Raw genomic sequence first — 21,854 nt, 5'->3', positions numbered from 1 at the left:
TTTTTTTTTTTGAGACGGAGTCTCGCTCTGTCGCCCAGGCCGGACTGCGGACTGCAGTGGTGCGATCTCGGCTCACTGCAAGCTCCGCCTCCTGGGTTCATGCCATTCTCCTGCCTCAGCCTCCCGAGTAGCTGGGACTACAGGCGCCCGCCACCGCGCCCGGCTAATTTTTTGTATTTTTAGTAGAGACGGGGTTTCACCTTGTTAGCCAGGATGGTCTCGATCTCCTGACCTCATGATCCACCCGCCTCGGCCTCCCAAAGTGCTGGGATTACAGGCGTGAGCCACCACGCCTGGCCCAATGATTTTATTATAAAATGAAGTTTTTAGGCCGGGCACGTTGGCTCACACCTGTAATCCCAACACTTTGGAAGGCTGAGGGGGGCGGATCACCTGAGGTCAGGAGTTGGAGACCAGTCTGGCCAACGTGGCGAGATCCCCATCTCTACTAAAAATACAAAAATTAGCCAGGTGTGGTGGTGTGTACCTGTGGTCCCAGCTACTCAGGATACTAAGGCAGGAGAATCACTTGAACCCAGGAGGCAGAGGTTGCAGTGAGCCCAGATCATGCCTCCAGCCTGGGTGATGGAGTGAGACTCTGTCTCAAAATAAATAAATAAATAAATAATGAAGTTTTAAAACACATTATTCTGGAGAGTCAGAAAAAATAGATTCTAAATGTTTTCTAAGATTTGTACCACTTTATTTTTACTTACTTATTTATGTATTTATTTATTTTTTGAGACAGAATTTCACTCTTGTCGCCCACGCTGGAGTACAGTGGCGTGATCTCGGCTCACTGCAACCTCCGCCTCCGGGGTTCAAACGATTCTCCTGCTTCAGCCTCCCAAGTGGCTGGGATTATAGGCGCCTGTCACCATGCCTGGCTAATTTTTTGTATTTTTAATAGAGATGGGGTTTCACCATGTTGGCCAGGCTGGTCTCGAACTCCTGACCTCAGGTGATCCACCCGCCTCAGCCTCCCAGAGTGTTGGGATTACAGGCGTGAGCCACCACACCCAGCCTATTTATTTATTTCTTGAGATGGAGTTTCGCTCTTGTTGCCTAGGCTGGAGTACAATCACACAGTCTCAGCTCACTGCAACCTCTGCCTCCCAGGTTCAAGCGATTCTCTTGTGTCAGCCTCCCAAGTAGCTGGGATTACGGGCGCCCACCACTATACTTGGCTAATTTTTGTATTTTTGGTAGAGACGGGGTTTCACCATGTTGGCCAGGCTGGTCTTGAACTCCTGACCTTAGGTGATCTGCCCGCCTCAGTCTCCCAAAGTGCTGAGATTACAGGCGTGAGTCCCCGTGCCCGGCCTGTACTAGTTTAAAGAGCTCACCTGATCAAAGTGACAGGTTTCTGTCTGCAGGCTGCTGAACTGGTCACGGTTGGCAAGAATCATTCTTCAGCAGCCATTTAAGAAGCTCGAGCAGTGGTTCTCAATCATCAGGGCATCTAAGAATCACCCTAGGAGCTTGTAAAAATGCCAAACCTTAGGTCTCTACCCCCTACCCAGGGGCTAGGGTGGGCCCCAGCATCAGTGTTTTTAGCCAGCAGCCTGGGTGCTTCTGGTGTGGCTGGTCAAGCACACGCTGTGAGAACAATGATCTAGGTCTCAGGCCTCAGCTTAGAAACCGTTTTCATCAAAGAGCACACTGACCATCCTCAGAGAACAGAACAGGGCCCTACTTTTTTCACTGGGCAGGTGGGTCACGTAGGCTGAGGGGCCTGGTGAGCTCTTTTATTTGGGGTCTGATAAGGTCAGAAAGGAATTTGGTTCAAGGGGTCCAGCCAGGTCTGCGACCGCAAGTTAATGCGATGTTCTCACTGGAAGTGGCTGGCACAGCCCCAAACAGGTGCAGGGGACGAGCTGCCCAAACCCAGTCACTGCAGGGTCACTGGGAATCAGGTGGTCTTTTTAACATGATGGCTTTTAAAATCGCCAAGTATTAGTACTCGATTCAGTTATTATCAGTAAATCACTAACAAACTGGGCTCTTTATTTCTGTCCAAAACAAGGCCACAATTTGTGTTTTATCACTGGGATGGCATGGCCATTGTGTCAATGGCTCAGGGAGACTTCAAGATCTTCGCTGGAACCTCTAAGGATTGGAATGTTCGATTCAGCTTCAGTGTGAGCAGCTGTCAGGGCATCTTTCTTGGAGAGCATGTCCATGCCTGGGTCTATTATCTTGTCCAAATAGATCGTCTGCCCAGGCAGACACAGCCTTTGTCATCTTTGCTTCTTGTTTCCTGGGTTTCCTAGTACTGTCAAATGTGACCTTGTGCCTCAGAATCATCATAGACGCTTGGAAATGGGAGAGATCTTCTTATCTCGTTGCTGATCCAATACCACAGCATACACATGGGGAAACTGAGGCCCCAAAAACGAAGGCAAATTAGTGACAGGAGGAGAACTGGAGCCCAATCCCTACTTGCCTCCATGGCTGGAACCTCAAAGGTAACACCAAGGATCCCCTTGGGCTCTAATCCATCATCTTAGAACAGCAGGAGGGCTTCACAGACAGCTTTGTCAATGCTTCTGTGCCCACTTGTATTAACCCGTCACTCACCCCTGCAAATTTCAACTTCCCAAACCCACCTGAGTCGGTGATGAACTATTCACTGGCAGTGCCCCCCCGCTCTGAATTGGGTTTTAAGTGATGACAAGTCGGCTGAGCCTCAGGTTTAGAGGAAACACCGTGTAGGAGCAGGAGCGAACGTTTGCTCTGTTCCCGTGGAGCCCATCATCTACCTGAGACAACAAGGCAGATGTCCGCATAAACGCCAGGGCTGTCCGTGCTCAGGGGCAAATCAGTGGAATAGGTAATACAAAGAGAAAGGCAGGTGAGAGCTCAATGGGCTAACACGGTCAAGGTAGGCTTCCTGGGGGAAGAGGTATTTACCTGGCCCATAAAGAATAGGTTGAAGCTGGGCATGGTGGCTCAAGCCTGTAAGCTGAGCACTTTGGGAGGCTGAGGCGGGAGGACTGCTTAGGTCCAGGAGTTCGAGATCAGCCTGGGCAACATTGCAAGACTTTATCTCTACTAAAAATTAAAAACTTAGCCAGGCATTGTGGTACACACCTGTAGTCCCAGCTACTCGGGAGGCTGAAGCAGGAGGATTGCTTGAGTCTAGGAGTTTGAGGCAGCAGTGAGCTATGATTGCACCACTGTACTCTAGCCTGGGTGACACCGCAAGACCCTGTCTTAAAAAAATAAAAAAGGATTAAGTTTGCCTGGTTTTTTCCAGGAATGAGTTAGGCATGGAGTCAGGATAAGGAGAACATGACTCAGTGTCACTAGATAAGGACTTGGTAGAGGCAGAGAAGAGTGGAGAATGAGGGCGGGAAGGAAAGTGAAGCTGTTATGTTTAGGGTGGTTGTTCATTAGTTGCTTGATGTAAAGTTATGCTTGCCTCCTTAGGTCCCAGAAACACAGGCCTGGGTAACTTGTCCTTACCCTTTTGTCCTTGTCTGTGCCTGGATCATGAGAACCAAGATTGGAGCTTTTGTTTGGGTCAGGGGTTATGACAGATGAGAAGCATCTATCCGTTCCACCCAGCTACCCTTTGCATCTTTTCTCCATAGTGGGACCCTGAAGATGTGAACCTCGAAGGCAGCAAAGAAAATGTGGAGCTACTGGGATCCCAGGTGCACCAGGACTCTGTGAGGACAGCACACCTGAGTGATGATGATTAACACCTTCTGGAGCCAGCTCATCAGCTCAGAGCCCAGGGTCAGGAGTTCGTTCAGTAACGCAGCGGGAATCAATCTGCACTGACACCGCGGCAGGAACTGAAGCTGCCCTGGCAAGTGAGGAACCAGGAGCCGTCACTGAGTGTGGCTGGGCTACATCATAGCTCATCACGGAGCTACGACTTTGGGTACTGCGGACAGACCTGGATAGGCCCAGCATTCGTTCTGAAGATCACAGTTCACAGAAGCTTTTGCTTCGTAAAGATAATCCAAAGGATCTCAGACCCGCTCTTCCTTTTCCCTTCATTCCCTTGAGAGTCAGCCATGAACGGAATACCTGCTAGGTTCCAGGAATGAGCTCACCTAACAGATAGCAAATGTGTCTGGTTAGATCTCAGCAGAGCCCATTCTGCAAGACCTGGCTGAGCCAGATGAGAGGGTGGGCCCTGTGCTGGGGGGCCTTGGGTCACACACAGGAACCGAGACCTGGCTTCCACCCCCCAGTCACCCACTTGGGTTATCTGCTGGAAGTTATCGATAGGACTGTGTGGCCAACCAAGTGCTTGTGAGATCACTGACACTGCAAAAACAAAGCAAACTGCTCCGGGTACCAGGACTTCCTCCAACCTGGCAAGGGTGTGCGCTGAGGCGGGGCTTGCAGGTGAGGGGGCTGTATGCTTCAGGAACTAACTAAATGCATGCAGAAGGTAAGAGGCATGATGGGAGGTGTTCAAGCACAGCAATCCCATTTGGGAGTTATTTTGATACTGCGATGAGTAAGGGTAAGGGCGCATGGAATGGGGCTAAGGTGGGAGTGAACACTGGGGTGAATAAATTTTAAATCAATTCAAGTATCTCACTGTGGAGTGCAATGGCGAGCATGAATCCCTGCACAGTCACAGAATGACGTCGGCCACGAGAGGAAGTGGAGAAATGCCAAGCAACACAGTTTTGCTCCGGGCTGGCCCACAGCCGCCTGCGTGACGCAGCTACAGCAGCCCAGTTTCTCCTGAGGGGTAGGGCAAGTTCCAGCAGCATGAAGGGGGTCCCTTGGGGAAGCAGCGTGGCTCTGCAGGTCTCTGCATAGATCCTAATCCCCTGGGTGACCTCTGAACTACAAGTGATCTTAAAGCCACTTTATTTATCCCCTTTAATCTGAACTGTGTTGGTCCCTGGTTGTCTTGGAAAGTTTGCTGAAGTCAGCTTTGCTTTGTGATGTTAACCACTGAAGCTGTACTTCCAGGGAAGAGGAAGATTTGAATGGAGACCCAGGATGCAGGGAGAAAAGAGTGTTCAAATAGATGAAATAGTACAGAGGACTGGATGCAGGGAAAGGTGGGAGCTAGCAAGGAAGAATCTGAGATGGCCAGAATGGATGATGTAGTATGGGCTGTAGGGGTGGCAAAAAGGCTGAAAAGGAACCAGACTGGAGGCTGGTGAGTCAGTGCTTGGTTCTGTGGCCAGCTGGTAGCCATGGAAGATACCAGAGTAGGAAGGTGACTGACTTGCCTCAGGAAGACCACAACTGATTGGTGAGTTTTTCATTCCTATGGCTACAACTTTCCAGGAAGCAGAAATATAGTCATGGGTACAGAATGAACGTGGGGAACAGGTTTAATCTAGAGTACTGAGTGGTAACAGCAGGGCAGAAGAGCTTCTCTTTAGAAAGGCGGAAGGCATGGGGATAGGATGACCTCTGGAGTTTGCCTTTAGCACATCCTCTGTCTTGAGGGAACTCTGGATCATGCTCCCTAGGGCACCAAAAATTGGTGGGATCCAGGTGAAAGTGGCCATTCACCCAAGAACATCAAATGATCTTGGCCAGGTGCAGTGGCTCACACCTGTAATCCCAGCACTTGTGGTAAGCTGCGGCAGGCAGATCACTTGAGGACAGGACTTCAAGACCAGCCTGGCCAACATGGTGAAACTCCATCTCTACTAAAAGTACAAAAAATTAGCCAAGTGTGGCGGCCCGCACCTGTAGTCCCAGCTACTCAGGAGGCTGAGGCACAAGAATTGCTTGAACCCACGGGGTGGAGGTTGCAGCGAGCTGAGATCGCACTGCTGCACTCCAGGCTGGGCAACATAACAAGACTGTCTCAAAAAACAACAAAAACCTTGCTGACTTTGAGTAACACGAACTACCTAAGGTCCAGATATCATCTATCTCCCTAGATCCTGTTAGCCCAGCCTCCTCCCTTCACAAACTGGTTCCTATCATCACGGTCCCAGCTTGTCTAAGGGTGTCTCCGGCCTCTTCATCCACAGTGAACTACCAAACTGGGAATTTTGGAAGCGAGGTTTGGCTTCATTGTTCAACGAGAATCTTCCTGTATGCAAAGCTCTAGAACACTGGAGCCTTTGTAAGGAGGTGCCAATTAAAATGCCTGTCTCCTAGTAGGAGTGGGCCTCTGTTGCAGCTTTGTTTCTAGCCGTTAGACCAAGAGGGCAGTGGGAGCAACTTGCTCTGATGACCCAGTGAGCAGTGCAGGCACTTTACCTACACTGGGGAGGGGCTGGGGAACAAACTATGTAATCATTGGCTCACTCATCTGGAGACCTGTAGTATCATCTGGTTGTGCCGCCTATCATCTGTGTGGCTTGGAGCATGTCACCTAACCTTTGTGAACTTCTTAGGTAGACTAAGAATAATACCAACCTAGAAAGCCTATGGTGAAGACTAAGTGAACTAACATGTATGAAAATGCAAACATAATACCTATTCAAAGAAGACTTTGGAGAGGGATTAGTTTTCTTTCCCCCCATGCTTCCTGCACACATGTACTGAAAGAGTAACCAAATAATTAGACCTGCAGATGGAAGAGATTTCAGAGGTTTGAATGCCCTTAAACACAACCCCAATTAGTGATTATCCAGTCTCTACTTAAGTTCTCTGAAAAAAAGGATATCAGTTGCCAAGTCTTTATCATTTAGCGAGAGCTCTGCTAAGATGATGATGATGATGATTTTTTTTTTTTTTTTGAGATGGAGTTTCACTCGTTGCCCTGGAGTGCAATGGCACGATCTCACTTCACTGCAACCTCCGCCTCCCAGGTTCAAGCGATTCTCCTGCCTCAGCCTCCCGAGTAGCTGGGATTACAGGCTCCCGCCACCATGCCTGGCTAATTTTTGTATTTTTAGTAGAGACGCTGTTGGCCAGCCTGATCTGGAACTCCTGACCTCAGGTGATCCACCTGCCTCAGCCTCCCAAAGCGCTGGGATTACACGAATGAGCCACCGCACCCAGCTAAAGATTTTCTTGAAAGCCTGTCTAGATCCTGAAGAACTAATCCCCTTATCTCCCTCCCTCAGTATGATGAAGAGATTTATGAGCATCATTTGAAGACACATTCATATTATGTTTCTTTCAAAGGGGTATGAGCTCCTAGAATAAGAAGAGGCACTGGGCCAAGGAGCATGGCTGGGCTCCAGTTCCCAGGTCTGATTCAGTGTGATCTTTGTCATTTCCTTTTCTATGTCACAGTTTCCTCATCTGTAAACTGAAAGTTGGGCCTGATTTTTTTCATTTTTTCTCTTTTATGCATGTGCCAATTTGTTTCCCACAGAATACTGACATCTTTATAAGCTCTCAAGAAAGACATTATAAAAACAAATTTCAGATATACTTTGAACATAGGCTTCATTATACGACATATACCTCTTTCTGTTTGGATTTTACTGTCCACTTAATATAAAAACCTGTATTAATCACTAAGGAAAAGGATAGAGGAGACTTAGAAATATCTCCAGAATAATTTTGCAACAATTCCAAGATTCTCTGCACTTCTTTTTCTGTCCCTTAATTGGCCTCCTCCACATTTTCCAACTATGGAGGTATTGCTCTACTCTCTTCGACTTTACATTGTTTTAGAATGCTTTTGCAAGGAGACTCTGCCTTGAATGAACCCAAGATATGGTGCAATGTTGAGGAAGATCTCCAAGTTTACACATGCCTGTACGATGGCCCAAAGGTCATCATCAGGTGAAAGGGACGACCTTAGAGATGAAAGAAGTTCAAGGAATGGTGCTACATTAAATGACTTAGCATTAGAAAGCATCTACTTTGCTTTTTCTTTCACCAACCCTGAAAGCCAAATAAGGCACTGGGCATTCAGGCCTTCTTTTGAGCAGAACACGTGATTACGCAGTTATTCTTCAAGAGCCTCTGTTAATCTGTCGCTTGGAGAACTCTGCATACTGTCCCAAATCCGTCTGAATTTTCCATCGGCTGCCAGTGTTCGTAGCAGAGGCCTCGGGTCTTCTCGTCCTCTCCTCAGGGTCTGGCAGCTGTCACTACCGTGGACTTCGGTCCAGTCCCCAGAGTCGGGGGCGCTGCCTTTCCCATTTCAGTTGCCAGGGGGTTCATCCACGATCGTGCCAGAGGGGCAGCGCGTGGTCTCCTCGAACTACGGGGGAGAGAGGAACCACTGTTGGCACGGGCCGGACTGAACGCCGGCTCCCACTGCCTACCTCCTCGGAGCTGCATCCGCCGACATCTTGCGCCCTACTCCCAGCACCAGCAGGGCACTTCCGGGAAGAACGGAATTGCGGTTCCGCGCGTGCGCACTCCGCAGCCACCGCCTCCCGCGAGGAGCGAGAGTCCCGCGGCCCCGCCCCGCCGCCGCAGCCGCCGCCGCAGCCGAAGGCCGGCGTTTCTGACCTCAGCCAGCGGCGACGCAGCCGGGAAAGAACTGTCGAGGGCGTCTCCGTAGTTCAGTTTTGGTTTGTTTATTTGAGACGGAGTCTCTGTCGCCCAGGCTGGAATGCAGTGGCGCGGTCTCTGCTGACTGCAGCCTCCGCCTGCCGAATTCAAGCGATTCTTCTGCGACTGAATAGCTGGGACTACAGGGGCGCGCCACGACGCCCGGCTAATTTTTGTATTTTTAGTGGAGACGGAGTTTCACCATGTTGGTCAGGCTGGTCTCGAACTCCTGACCTCGTGATCCGCCCGCCTCGGCCTCCCAAAGTGCTGGGATTACAGGCGTGAGCCACCACGCCTGGCCCACCCCACTCGGTTTTTAAGGAGATAATTACAAGGTTATTTTACGGTTCATAGTGTGTTTCAGACCTCCCAGAAGCCTAACGGTGTATTATAAACCATTCTTTTCTTTGTTTTTAAATGCATTAAAAACCTTTTTTGAGATAAAAATAGTGCAAGTACATGGTTTAAAAAAAGAAAATCAGATTGCACCAAAAGGTTTATGATGAAAAACAATAATGTTCTGTCCCTTTGCCTCCAAGAGACTCCTTTTTAAAATCTTTTGGGCTGGGCGCGGTGGCTCACGCCTGTAATCCCAACACTTTGGGAGGGTGAGGCGGGCGGATCATCTGAGGTCAGGAGTTTGAGATCAGTCTGGCCAACATGGTGAAACCCCGTCCCTACCAAAAATACAAAAAGTAGCCGGGCGTGGTGGTGGGCGCCTGTAGTCTCAGCTACTTGGGAGGCTGAGGCAGGAGAATCGTTTGAACCGGCGAGGCAGAGGCTGCAGTGAGCTGAGACCGCGCCACTGCACTCCAGCCTAGGCAACAGGAGCAAAATTCTGTCTCAAAAAAAAAAAAAACTTTTATACCTTCTAGTAGTTGTCTCCATTAGGTTTGATTTGGAACATGCTTTCCAGCTACAGGGTTCTTAAGATCATACTTGCTTTTCCTGAGCTGCATCATCTTCAGCTTCCATTATACAGGCTGACGAGGCTCAGTAGCACGGCAGGGCCACTGGCGTATTGAGAAATGGATGGTCACCGTCTTCGCATCCGAGGGTTGTGTGGCGTGCCTCGCGCCAGGAACTCCTTGGCCACTCCGCAGTTTCCTAGCTAGAACCCGGCTTCTGAGCCCAGCACGCTCCAACAGCAGCCTGCCGCGGTCCACGCCTCTGCTCCGGACTTGACCTTTCCCTTCCGGCCTTCCTCCTACAGGTGTCTTGGCACCTGGAATCTCCAGAGGAAATCTGAGGGATTCTCTAAACCCACAGCTGGAACAAGGGACGTCATACACGGCGGCCACCACCATCTTTCCCAAGGACAGCATGGCCATGGATGAAAAGGGCCATTTCATGGGCCTTACCTTCTGCTAGCCAGTATAGCCTAAAGCCCTGATACTCAAATGTAGACTCTTAGGCTCCACCCGGAGGATTCCCTAGGTCTGGGCAGGGCTTGGGAAGCTTAGCAGGCTCCTCAGGTGATTCTGCTACAGATGGTCCAGGACCAGTCTCTGAAAAACACTGTCCTCGGGAAATTGCTTTTATGTATTTACTTTTTCCATCTCTTCTTGGTATTTTGTTATCATTTTCAAATACAGAGACGGAGTCTCACTATGATGCCCAGGCTGGTTCCGAACTCCTGGGCTCCAGAGATCCTCCTGCCTTGGTCCCCCAAAGTACTGGGATTACAGGCACAAGCCACCACTCCAGCCGGGAAATTACTTTTAAAACAGATCTATTTGTATGAGATGTTCTCACAAAACTACTTAGAATAGCAAACAAACAAAAAAAAAGTGATAAAGCTCCCAAACCCCACTGTTGTGCAGAATTAAACATACTTTTTTTTTTTTTTTTTTGAGATGGAGTCTGTCTCTGTTGCCCAAGCTGGAATGCAGTGGTGCCATCTCAGCTCATTGCAACCTCTGCCTCCTGGGTTCAGGCGATTCTCCTGCCTCAGCTTCCCGAGTAGCTGGGACTACAGGCGCGTGCCACCATGACTGGCTACATTTTGTATTTTTAGTGGAGACGGGGTTCGCCATGTTGGCCAGGCTGGTCTTGAACTTCTGACCCCAAGTGATCCACCTTCCTCGGCCTCCCAAAGCGCTGGGACTACAGGCATGATCCACCACACCTGGCCCAAACATTATGCTTTAATGAAGAAATGACATTTTGCCATTAAACCTAAAATATCACAGAACCATGGATTGAAGAACAGACATGAATTACCTTGAAATCATCTACTGCAGTGCCTGAGTGGCTTTGCCTGTTCTCACAGCATGAATTCTCAGTTCACACACAGTAAAAAAAAAAAAAAAAAAATTATGAAAGATAATGTCAGCTAATAGGCCGGGTGCAGTGGCTCACCCCTGTAATCCCAGTACTTTGGGAGGCCAAGTGGGGGCAGATTACCTGAGGTCAGGAGTTCAAGACCAGCCTGGCCAACATGGTGAATACCCCGTCTCTACTAAAAATACAAAAATTAGACACACGCCTGTAATCCCAGCTACTCGGGAGGCTAAGGCAGGAGAATTGCTTGAATCCAGAAGGCGGAGGTTGCAGTGATCACTGCACTCCAGCCTGGGCAACAGAGCAAAACTCTGTCTCAAAAAAAAAACAAAACCATAATGTAAACTAGTAAAGGTAGAACACAAGAGAGCTTGAGCCACCATTCACAATTATAAGAAAAATTTTGATAGATCAGAAAAGTCTTAGAAGTCATTAGATTCTGTTGTAAAAAGATTATGTGGATTTTTGTAGTAGATGTTTCTTGACTGTGGAAATACTTAAATACATCTTAAGAGAACTGTTCTAGTTTAAAGGAGTCTGCAGTGGGGATGGGGTGGGAGAGCTATATGGGATTACTGGGACAATTGAGCAAATTTGAATATGTACAGTGTATTAGCTAACTTTATTGTTTCCTTTCTTAATAATATTATGGTTGCACAGGAGAACGCCCCTTTGGATATACATGCTGAACTACTTAGGAGTGAAGCACCGTGATTTGGCAACTGACTTTTATTTTTTATTTTTTATTTTTATTTTTTGAGACAGAGTCTCGCTCTCTCGCCCAGGCTGGAGTGCAGTGGCATGATCTCGGCTTACTGCAAGCTCCGCCTCCCGGGTTCACACCATTCTCCTGCCTCAGCCTCCTGAGTAGCTGGGACTACAGGCGCCTGCCACCATGCCTGGCTAATTTTTTTTTGTATTTTTAGTAGAGACGGGGTTTCACCATGGTCTCGATCTCCTGACCTCGTGATCCTCCCGCCTTGGCCTCCCAAAGTGCTGGGATTACAGGTGTGAGCCACCGCACCTGGCCCCAAGCAACTGACTTTTAAATATTTCAGCAGAAAAAAATTATAAATTTTTCAGGTAGTTGGAGAGAGACAAAGCAAACGGAAAAACGGGAACAATGGATTAATCTAGGCGAATAGCATAAACATGTTCGTTATTCTTTCATCTTTTCTGTAGGTTGGAAGTTTTTCAAAGCCAGCTGGGTGAGAAAGAACAGGAGTAAAGAAAGATTCTCGCCAGGCGTGGCTCACGCCTGTAATCCCAGCACTTTGGGAGGCCGAGGCAGGTGGATCACCTGAGGTCAGGAGTTCGAGACCAGCCTCACCAACATGGAGAAACCCTGTTTCTACTAAAAATACAAAATTAGCCGGGTGTGGTGGCACCTGCCTGTAATCCCAGCTACTCAGGAGGCTGAGGCAGGAGAATTGCTTGGAGCCAGGAGGCGGAGGTTGCGGTGAGCTGAGATGGCGCCATTGCACTCCAGCCTGGGCAACAAGAGCGAAACTCCATCTCAAAAACAAAAAAAGGCCGGGCACAGTGGCTCACGCCTATAATCCCTGCACTTTGGGAGGCTGAGGCGGGTGGATCACCTGAGGTCAGCAGTTCGAGACCAACCTGGCCAACGTGGTGAAACCCTGTCTACTAAAAATACAAAAATTAGCCAGGCGTGGTGGTGGGCACCTGTAATCCCAGCTACTCGGGAGGCTGAGGTAGGAGAATTTCTTGAACCCAGGAGTCAGAAGCTGCAGTGAGCTGAGATTGCACCACTGCACCCCAGCCTGGGCAACAGAGCGAGACTCCATCTCAAAAAAAAAAAAAAAAAAAAAAAGAAAGAGTCTCACAGTTGGCCCATCATGAGATGGGGTCTCCACGCATCTCCACCACTGTTGCCAGCAGAGGACCCTGAAATTCTAGGGCTTTGCAAGGAAAGAGCTGGTTATTAGAGACTGCTTTTCAAGCAGCTTCCCAAATGTGGCTGGATTCTGGGCCGACTAATTGTCGTGTGATGTCAGGCCACAAAGGGTGGATAAATTCCAGTTTGTCTGGTACTGAGAAAAAAATAGGCCCCATATCTTAGACAGCCCTGATAAGGTGCCTCCATGGATATGAGTAATGGTCAGACCCAGGGGATGACCCAGGACTAAGAAAGCTGGACAATGGAAAGTCTGGAGCACTGTGACAGGGAAATTCTTCCCCTGAATTGCCTTTTCCTATTGAGATAAGATAGTACACAATAAAGCGCCAGGCTCAGAAGTGCTGCTGCCAATCCCAGCCAGGGCAGCCAGCACTCGGCCCGAGCTGACGCACATCAGTGCCCGGGGCTGTCAGCACCTGTGTGGTCTCCAGAACGCCAGCTCTGATGGGGACCAGTCCTAACTCCCACCATTCACCAACTGTGGGACTCCTATTCTTGTTCATTAAAAAAAAAAGAAAAGAAAGAAAGAAAAAAAGTGTACTCCTCTTCTACCTGCTTTACTCTATGGTGCCTCCAAAAACTAGAAACCATGCCGGGCGTGGAGGCTCACGCCTGTGATCCCAGCACTTTGAGAGGGGCGGATCACCTGAGGTGATCAAGACCAGCATGGCCAACATGGTGAAACCCCGTTTCTACTAAAAATACAGAAATTAGCTGGGCATGGTGGTGGGTGCCTGTAATCCCAGCTACTCAGGAGGCTGAGGCAGGAGAATCACTTGAACCAGGGAGGTGGAGCTTGCAGTGAGCTGAGATCGTGCTATTACACTCCAGCCTGGGCAACAAGAGCAAAACTCCATCCAAAAAAAAAAAAACACACACACACACAGAAAAAAACTAAAAGCAAACCATGAAAGGGCCTTTCCACTCCCAAATGCTATAAAGGTATCAGTTATTATTATTACTTCCTTAGCATGAAGCAGTTAGTTTTGTAGATTCTCTCTCTTTTTTTTTCTTTAAGACACAGGGTCTGGCTATGTTGCCCAGCTGTTCTCAAACTCCTGGCTCAACGATCCTCCCACCTTAGCCAGCCTAGTAGGTGGGACTACAGGCACGTGCCACCCAGCCCAGCTAGCATCCCCTGTTTTAGGTCTAGTTCCATATTTCTTTAAAAGTCATCAGGATGTCTTTTAGGTCCTGAGTATATTTTTATTATGAGATTGTATAAGTAAAGACCTTTGAACTTCTGAGGAGGCAAGATTGAGACACCTTAGATGCTCCACTGTCTCCTGAGTGAGCAGAGTGGCAGAGGCTGTTACCCTTTTAATAGCACCTTAACCGGGAAGTAGACCCCTTGTAGGCAAGCAGTGACTCACCCACACTGTCACGAATGAGTCAGTGTCCCAGCCGAGCAGGGGCTGGCAGCCTCCTACTTCACGGGGTGGGAAGCAAGGCCTAGGCTCAGTCCTGGATATTGGTCTTGTCACGTTAGGGGTGGTAGCACAGAGCCCGCAGAGTGGAAAGGAGCTGATGCCTTTGGATTGGTCTTCAGGAGGAGAGGATTGAGCTAATGGGCATGTGATACAGAGAAAGACTGTAAGTTAGGGTAAAGGAGAGCTTTCATGTGGTCCTGTCTGAGCTGCAATGGTTGCACGGGCTCCGTGTTACTGGAGTAATTCCAACACAGCCTCAACCCACCTATAGAGATGTTTTGGGCCAGGCACGGTGCCTCACACCTGTAATCCCAGCACTTTGGGAGGCCAAGGTGGGTGGATCATTTCAGGCCAGGAGTTTGAGACCAGCCTGGCCAACATGGTGAAATCCCATCTCTACTAAAAATACAAAAATTAGTCGGGCATCATGACGCACACCTGTAATCCCAGCTAGTTGGGAGGCTGAGGCAGGAGAATCCATTGAACCCAGGAGGCGGAGGCTGCAGTGAGCCAAGTTGGCACCACTGCACTCTACCTGGGAGACAGAGCGAGACTCCATCTCAAAAATTAAAAGATGGTTTGGGGAAGATGTTACCATTGACCAGAGAGTTGGATCAGATGGCTTTCAAGACTTTTTCAATGTTAAAAGTCTGAGCTATGGGGCCAGCGTGGTGGCTTACGCCTGTAATCCCAGCACTTTGGGAGGCTGAGGCAGGCGGATGATGAGGTCAGGAGATCGAGAACATCCTGGCTAACACGGTGAAACCCTGTCTCTACTAAAAATACAAAAAAATTAGCTGGGTGTGGTGGTGGGCACCTGTAATCCCAGCTATTCGGGAGGCTGAGGCAGGAGAATGGCATGAACCTGGGAGGCGGAGCTTCAGTGAGCTGAGATCGCGCCACTGCACTCCAGCCTGGGTGACAGAGCAAGACTCCGTCTCAAAAAAAAAAAAAATCTGAGCTATTTTTGCCTCACGATGAACTTGCATTAACCCACCTTCTGCTTAGTAGCTACATTCTGAGCTTTTTTTTTTCTTTTAATTTTTTGGAGAGACAGGGTCTTGCTCGGTTGCCCAGGCTGGATTACAGTGGTGCAATCATAGCTCACTATAACCTCAAATTGCTGGGCTCAATTGATGCTCCTGCCTCAGTCTCCCAAGTAGCTAGGACTACAGGTGCACACCACAACACCTGGCTAACTTTTAATATTTTTTTTTAAATGGAGGCTCACTCTGTCACCCAGTCTGTGATGCAGTGGCACGATCTCAGCTCGCTGCAACCTCCGCCTCCTGGGTTCAATCAATTCTCCTGCCTCAGCCTCCTAAGTAGCTGGGACTACAGGTGCTCGCCACCACGCCCAGCTAATTTTTGTATTTTTAGTAGAGATGGGGTTTCACCACGTTGGCCAGGCTGGTCTCGAACTCCTGACCTCAGGTGATCCACCCATCTCAGCCTCCCAAAGTGCTGGGATTACAGGCGTGAGCCACCGTGCCCGGCAACTTTTAATTTTTTGCACAGATGGGGGTTTCACTATGTTGCTAAGGCTGGTCTTGAATTCCTGGCCTCAAGGGTTCCTCCTGCCTTCGCTTCCCAAAGTGTTGGGATTACAGGCGTGACCCATTGCACCTGGCCCTTTTGGAGCTTTAGCTTCCTCAGCTGCAAAATGGGATTATTAATATCTACCCTGCTTATCTCAGAGGGTCATAATAAGGATCAACAATGATAATAAATGATTCCTGGTACAATCATGCATGTTGTTCTCATGTTTCTCTCAGTATTTGTGATCCACAGGTAGAGGGTGACCAGGTGAGTACCTGGACCGGCTGTCCCATGGGTCAGAGTAAAGATCCCATTTACTCATGGGGTTGGCATTAAATCACCTTTCACTGGCCATCCCCCAAATATGGTTACCGCTTTACCCTTTGACTTCTCTGTCCCTCTGTCTTCACTCCTCCCATCTTCCTTTCCCTTATGTTCATTGGACTGACACTTCCTGAGGGGTTACTATGTCCAAGGCACCCTGCTGGGGCAGGGGGAGCACAGGAATAACTCCCAGCCCTTGTCTGCAAGGGCACCTCAGCCCTGTAGGGGAAGCGCAGTGCCCAGGAGGAGAGGCCAGGAGGAGGCGGAGGCCAGACAGGGGGAGTGTTCACCAAGAAGACATGGCTTCATGGGCCTGGCTTTTAAGACCAGTTGATGATTCTCCAAGTAGAGAAGGCAGGGGGAAGGGTAAGAATAGAGTGCCTGGATGTTTGCTTGTCTGCCCCAGGCCTGACCCAACTCCTTCCTTGGCACGTTCTCTTGCCTGTTGAGCAACATCCCCTCTGTGACAGGAGAGGAGTTTTGCTCAGGTCTCGCATGCAGCTTCTTTCTAAGCAAGAGAATTTGAAAACTAGAAGTTGTTGTTGGAAATGAAACCGCCATTGCAAAACTGTAAGCGAGACAGTGAAAGAGACTTGACCTAACCAACTCCATCTTGCTTCTAACCTCCAAGCTGTCCTTGTTCATTCCTGGGCGAAGGTGAACTAACTTTGGGAGAAACTTAGTTTCTACTTTAAAGCAAAGACGACAGCTGCTCTTTCCCAAAACAAACCTCCTTCTTGCCTGGGGTCTAGACTGTCTTTGTAGGACAAACGAATTAGCCAAGAGATTAGAAATGATGGTTTAGGAGCCATGCAGCTGGAGGCTACAAGATTCTGACCCTCCCTACACTGCTCCTAAGATCAGCGCTTGGGATATTTTGCAGACTCCACACTTGATGGATCAGCTGGCACCACCCAGATGGATAAACTGGCTCATCTGATCTTGTGGCCCCGACCCAGGAACTGACTCAGCGCAAGAAGACAGCTGACTCCCTGTGATATCATCCCTGATCAATCAGCACTCCCGGCTCACTGGCTCTCCACACCCACCAAGCTGTCCTTAAAAACTCTGCTCCCCGAATGCTCGGGGAGACTGATTTGAGTAATAATACAGCTTCGGTCTCCCACACGGCCGGCTCTGCATGGATTACTCTTTCTCTACTGCAGTTCCCCTGTCTTGATAAATAGGCTGTGTCTAGGCAGCGGGCAAGGTGAAACAGTGCTGACTGCTCACTGGGGCCATGCATATGACCGTGAGATAACGCAGTGATTTTCAACCCCAGTTGTGCACCAGAATCACCTGTGGTTTGTTTTTGGTTTTGATTTAATTCAGATTTCCTGGCCCCACTCTTCATGTATTCTGATTAAATGGATCTGGGATGAGGCCCCTATAATTGGTATGATTTGCTTTCACAAATTTAGAGGGAGAAAGAATGTCCTATAATCTTTGTTTTTCCAGTTCTGCACTCAAGAGGGCAAACGTTGTATTGCAGGATGCCCAGAATCCCCTGTTGAAGCTTCCACCTACCCTGAGTTTTCTGAGAACCCTAAAGGCTTATTGAGTTCTAAAAAGTGAAGGAGCTGGTTGGGCACAGTGACTCACACCTGTAATCCCGGCACTTTGGGAGGCTGAGCAGGGTGGATCACCTGAGGTCAGGAGTTCATGACCAGCCTGGACAACACGGTGACCCCCATCTCTACTAAAAATACAAAATTTAGCTGGGCGTGGTGGCAGGCACCTGTAATCCCAGCTACTCGAGAGGCTGAGGCAGGAGAATCCCTTGAACCTGGGAGGTGGAGGTTGTAGTGAGCCGAGATCGTGCCACTGCACTCCAGCCTAGGCGACAGAGCGAGACTCTGTCTCCAAAAAAAAAAAAAAACAAAGGAGCTGCCGTGGAATTAGTCTGGCTTCCACTCCCAGAGGGGAGAGAATGGATGGTAAGCAGTTGCCTATTTTTCTTTCCTGCGCCTCACTTTCCTTATCTGTGAAATGAGAAGAAAAGTATGCCCCACCTCAGAAGATTGCGGTGAAGGCTGAAAGAGCACAGAGGCTGTGACAGCACATAGTAAGTGCTCAATAAATGAAGGCTATTGCCATGAAGGCAGCAAGGCCTCCTGGGTAGGGGTGTGGGCTCCAGAGCCAGACTGCCTGGGTTCACAGACTGGCAGCCACTCTAATTGTGTAGCCTTCATGCCTCCATTTCCTTCTCTCTACAGTGGGGGTGATAATGACTTCCTCACAGAACTGTTATCGGGTGAATTAATAAGTGTAAGGCACATTGATCAATGCTGGGCAAACAACACCAAATCATTATTAGCAGTTACGGTTACCTCTGCTGTGACCGCTCACTGCCTCATGGTGTCACTGTCAGTCACTGGTCCTGCCCCATCCTTAGCTTGTACCCTCCAGCTGCTCCTAGCAGCCTCGCAGGGCAGCTGTGCCTCTTCAAGAAGAGACCACCTTCCCCTCCCTCTTGCTAATCCTGGCCAAGGAATCCCTACTTGGACTCCTAAGTTCACCTATACAGCCTCCTCGTGGGACACCAGCTGGCTGTGGGATGCTGTGTCAGACCCCGTTCCAGCCTCACCAGCACAGGGAGCCAGGACCTCCACGCTCTTGCCCGCTCTTCCCCAGAGATCCACCCCAGGGTCTGCAGCATTTGTTTGGCCGCCTTGGAGCCTAAGCGTCTGAGAGCACCCCTTTCTCCAACACTGAAGCGATTCTTCTAAAGGAAATTACCACAGTAAGTCCTGGGATCCCCAGTCCCCACTCTGTTCAGATGGCTGCCCTCTGTGCCTCCAGGTGACTTAGTTGGGAGATTTCCTTACCAGGTGTCAACATTACACTTCCGGTGGTACCACTGCCTGGGATTCCAAGGCCATTTTTTGCTTCTTAGAGAAGCGGGGTGGGGAAAGCCCGTATGTCTCATCTCTGCTGGGAACCATATTATGTGTAACTTTAAAAAACCCCAGGCATGATTCCAACATGCAGCCAAGGAAGAGAATCACTGAGGTAGGAAGACTGAGACCTAATGGTTATTAAAACCCCTGCACAAGTGGGAGGCTGTCCGTTGATTCCCTTGAGGCTGCCTTCCCTGGGAACATTTCGATTCTAGAACGCAGGCTCTGAGTCGGTGGTTAGAGATCAGCCGACTCAATGATTCTCCAGTTCAGTGGGCAGCAGAATCGCGGGAGTGGTCTGCTTCTTATACAGCTTCTCAGGTCTCAGCTCCTGATCGGCGACGCTGATTCAGTGGGATGGAGGTGGAGGAGTGGGAGGGATCCCAGATCGCAGTGAGATGCATGGTGAGGAACCCTGGGCGGGGAGGGTGTGGGCAAGGTGGGCGAAGGGCTGCCTGCACATCATGCCTAGGCAGGGAGTTATAAGAAGCAAGGGCAGCATCTCAGAGGGGCTCAGATGTGAGGGAATTGTCATCAGAAGCTGGAAAAAAACAAAATTGTCAAAGTTAATTGCCAAATCTCTCTCCAAATAATATATCCCCTGTCCGACTATCAGGGCCTATTTTCAGATGGAAGAAAATGTGTGTCCAAAGCAGGAATCCCAAGATCAGAACCCTCTGTGGGAGCGGAGGTGAACCCTTGGGAGTGGAAGCTGGGAAGACAATTGCTGCCGATGGTCAGTGAGGAAAGCCTTGGGCTCCAATGACCTCATGGCTCTTTTCTGTCGCCGGTGACAGGACACTCCCTTCCCCTCTGCCCACCTCCACCCACAGGCATATCAGACAGATGACCACATGAGAGCACGGGAAAAGTGTTCCCCGTCGATAACACACATTCTCACGTGCTGCCGCTGCCGCCACCGTCCGACCTAATCCCCCAAATGTCCCGTGATGTCAGGCTGAGTGAGGCAGGGTGAGGTCACCCCAGAGCTCATGCTCTTTTTCCCTGGAGACCCAGGAATTTTTGAAAAGTTGCATAAGAGCAAATGCCTGGTCATGCCTTGGATTCTTTGTGTGAAGCCTTTAGCTCCGGCAGCCCGAGTCTCATTTGTCCCCTAATTCACAGTGTGTGACTTTGTTTTTCTCAGCGGTGTTCACCAGGAGAGGTAAAACAATACTCCCTTATCTCCTCAGAGGGGTCAGCAAGGCAGCCTGGTCGGCCATGAAGCAGGGAAGAGCTGGATCAAACTAGGCTCAAAAGCTACCAGCTCCAGAGCCCACGCCTCAGAAGGACTCTTCCCCCACGGCAGTGCATTCCGGCAGGGGGTGTCCCTGAGGGGTCTCCTTACACCTAAAGTGGTTGTCAGTCCTTCAAAGTTAGTGATAAAGAGTCCAGAGCGTCCTTAGTATTACCATTCACAACAATATGCAGAGATCACCAAAAACAGCACTTTTCCCCTCCATGAGCGTGCTCTCCAGCCTCTGACCCTCCCCAGTTTTCTCAGGCCTCCTACTTGACTAAATATTTGGGAAGTGAAACAATAGCTCACTACAGCAGTGGTGGGCAATTACTGGAAAATCACGTGATTGTCCGAATTGAACCAATTTGTCAAAGACCATTTTCCTTTCACTCATCGCCTCCCCCACACCCCACGATAAGATAGGGTCCCTAGAGCACAATAATCCTTTCCTGAGATACAATTTAGAGGCTCCTGAGAAAAGAAACAAAAGTGAGGCTAATTTTGGCTTTTCTGAGACTAAAGAAAAGCACACAGGCAGGCCCTGTCCTGCTCGAGGAAGCCAGGGTGGGCCTCGTTTCGTCCCTCCAGGGTATCTGCTCGGTCACCAGGGGATTTGGAGAACAATGCAAGGGCAGCGAGGGGGAGATAGGAACCGAGTCCTGGCCCTGGCCGCAGTGACCGAAGTCTTGCCTGGGCCCTGAAGAGATCTCTACCATAACAGCCATGGCTTCAGACTTAAACATTCTGTTAACTGCAAATTTATCACTACCCTTCCCCAGCCGAATTAGTTTTTATTTTATTTATTTATTCGTTTTTTTGAGACAGAGTCTCGCTCTTGTCACTCAGGCTGGAGTGCAATGGTGCGATCTCGGCTCACTGCAACCTCCACCTCCCAGATTCAAGTGATTCTCCTGTCTCAGCCTCCCGAGTAGCTGGGACTACAGGCACCCACCATCACGCCTGGCTAAAAGTTTCCCCATAAACCTTTCACCTACTGGTGTCTTGGAGTTTGATGAATATTTACTCATTCTCTCTGTACTTAATAACTCTGCGTCATGACGCCCAAAGAGGCAGGTATTATTATCTACAGATGAAACTACAGATTGAAAGGTTGACACTTGTCCAGGTCACACAGTGTGATAATAGCAGAGGCTGCGTCATGGAAACAGAGGTCCTGTTTTCCTGGAAGAAAACATTTTCACTCTGCTTTCCACCATGACTTAGCTGTTGGGAAGCAGCAGGCCTCACTTCTAGCGAACTCCACTGGGCACGGGGGCACACCTGTCCGAGGTGGCTCCTGCCCTCTCATCATCCCAGGAAGGAGAAGAGACAGTACATCCTAGGCAACACTTCCTCTCTCGTGGGCCAGCTCTGTCTGTGCTTCGGGCCCTTCAATCTCACTCCCATGTCTCCCAAGCCCTTTCATATCTTGTCCGCTGCTTTCCCCTGCCCTTGTGTTCCAGCTTGAGCTGCCTCGGGTGTCCCCAGCTGCGCTCTCCCATCCAGAAAGGCAAAGAGGCAGGAAAGCTTTCACCAGGGGTGGAGGAGGTGATGAGAAGGAAAAATGTTAGACTTCCAGTTGTCCTGGGGGTCAGTGGGACAGCTGCAGAGATGCTCCAGCGTTTCCCTATAGTGTGACAAAATGGAAACTCCTGCTGCTTCATGCCAGCATTTCACATCACAGCACACGCGTGCTTGTGGCTTTCTGTTGACAAAGGGGAGGCAGACTCTTTTCATCCAAATCCACGGTGTCTTGTAGACTTCTTTTTAGCTTTGCTCAGCGGAGAAGCATTTCCGAAGCCCCGCGGTGG

The 21,854-nt window shown here is 49.5% G+C and overlaps 1 protein-coding gene and 1 long non-coding RNA gene across 7 annotated transcripts in view, besides 7 other annotated features; one reads left to right on the top strand and one right to left on the bottom strand.

The window, feature by feature from the left end:
* TMEM44 (transmembrane protein 44) overlaps positions 1-4,558 on the top strand; it is a 45,742-nt gene extending 41,184 nt beyond the window's left edge. For all 4 annotated transcript variants that reach the window (NM_001166306.2, NM_001011655.3, NM_138399.5 and 1 more), the window contains one exon: positions 3,597-4,558. In NM_001166306.2, the coding sequence (NP_001159778.1) occupies positions 3,597-3,615 (19 nt within the window). In that variant the 3' untranslated portion in view covers positions 3,616-4,558. The remainder of the gene's footprint in view (positions 1-3,596) is intronic.
* TMEM44-AS1 (TMEM44 antisense RNA 1) lies at positions 1,404-7,968 on the bottom strand. Of its 3 annotated transcripts, none has more exon segments than NR_047573.1 (4): positions 1,404-2,381; positions 2,610-2,762; positions 3,094-3,215; positions 7,788-7,968. It is a non-coding gene; the product is annotated as a TMEM44 antisense RNA 1 (long non-coding RNA).
* Positions 2,349-3,548: an enhancer, noted in NCBI's record as "BRD4-independent group 4 enhancer chr3:194309417-194310616 (GRCh37/hg19 assembly coordinates)". NCBI's record gives its function as "activates an origin of replication core promoter dependent on BRD2, P300/CBP, MED14 and CDK7 cofactors, and independent of BRD4, by STARR-seq in HCT116 cells {active_cell/tissue: HCT116}" and the evidence as "EXISTENCE:reporter gene assay evidence [ECO:0000049][PMID:35650434]".
* Positions 7,952-8,001: an enhancer, noted in NCBI's record as "active region_21030". NCBI's record gives its function as "activates an Ori minimal core promoter by ATAC-STARR-seq in GM12878 lymphoblastoid cells {active_cell/tissue: GM12878}" and the evidence as "EXISTENCE:reporter gene assay evidence [ECO:0000049][PMID:35858748]".
* Positions 8,037-8,702: an enhancer, noted in NCBI's record as "H3K27ac hESC enhancer chr3:194304263-194304928 (GRCh37/hg19 assembly coordinates)". NCBI's record gives its function as "activates a minimal SCP1, AML or CMV promoter by ChIP-STARR-seq in naive and primed H9 embryonic stem cells {active_cell/tissue: H9 hESC(naive and primed)}" and the evidence as "EXISTENCE:reporter gene assay evidence [ECO:0000049][PMID:30033119]".
* Positions 8,192-8,451: a silencer, noted in NCBI's record as "silent region_15025". NCBI's record gives its function as "represses an Ori minimal core promoter by ATAC-STARR-seq in GM12878 lymphoblastoid cells {active_cell/tissue: GM12878}" and the evidence as "EXISTENCE:reporter gene assay evidence [ECO:0000049][PMID:35858748]".
* Positions 18,387-18,556: an enhancer, noted in NCBI's record as "active region_21029". NCBI's record gives its function as "activates an Ori minimal core promoter by ATAC-STARR-seq in GM12878 lymphoblastoid cells {active_cell/tissue: GM12878}" and the evidence as "EXISTENCE:reporter gene assay evidence [ECO:0000049][PMID:35858748]".
* Positions 18,873-20,072: an enhancer, noted in NCBI's record as "BRD4-independent group 4 enhancer chr3:194292893-194294092 (GRCh37/hg19 assembly coordinates)". NCBI's record gives its function as "activates an origin of replication core promoter dependent on BRD2, P300/CBP, MED14 and CDK7 cofactors, and independent of BRD4, by STARR-seq in HCT116 cells {active_cell/tissue: HCT116}" and the evidence as "EXISTENCE:reporter gene assay evidence [ECO:0000049][PMID:35650434]".
* Positions 19,602-19,896: an enhancer, noted in NCBI's record as "tiled region #15717; HepG2 Activating DNase unmatched - State 1:Tss". NCBI's record gives its function as "activates a minimal TATA promoter and a strong SV40 promoter by Sharpr-MPRA in HepG2 cells {active_cell/tissue: HepG2}" and the evidence as "EXISTENCE:reporter gene assay evidence [ECO:0000049][PMID:27701403]".

The sequence above is a fragment of the Homo sapiens genome, chromosome 3 (genome assembly GCF_000001405.40).
Source record: "Homo sapiens chromosome 3, GRCh38.p14 Primary Assembly".
Classification (NCBI taxonomy): domain Eukaryota; kingdom Metazoa; phylum Chordata; class Mammalia; order Primates; family Hominidae; genus Homo; species Homo sapiens.
This window is presented reverse-complemented; position numbering and strand designations above follow the sequence as displayed.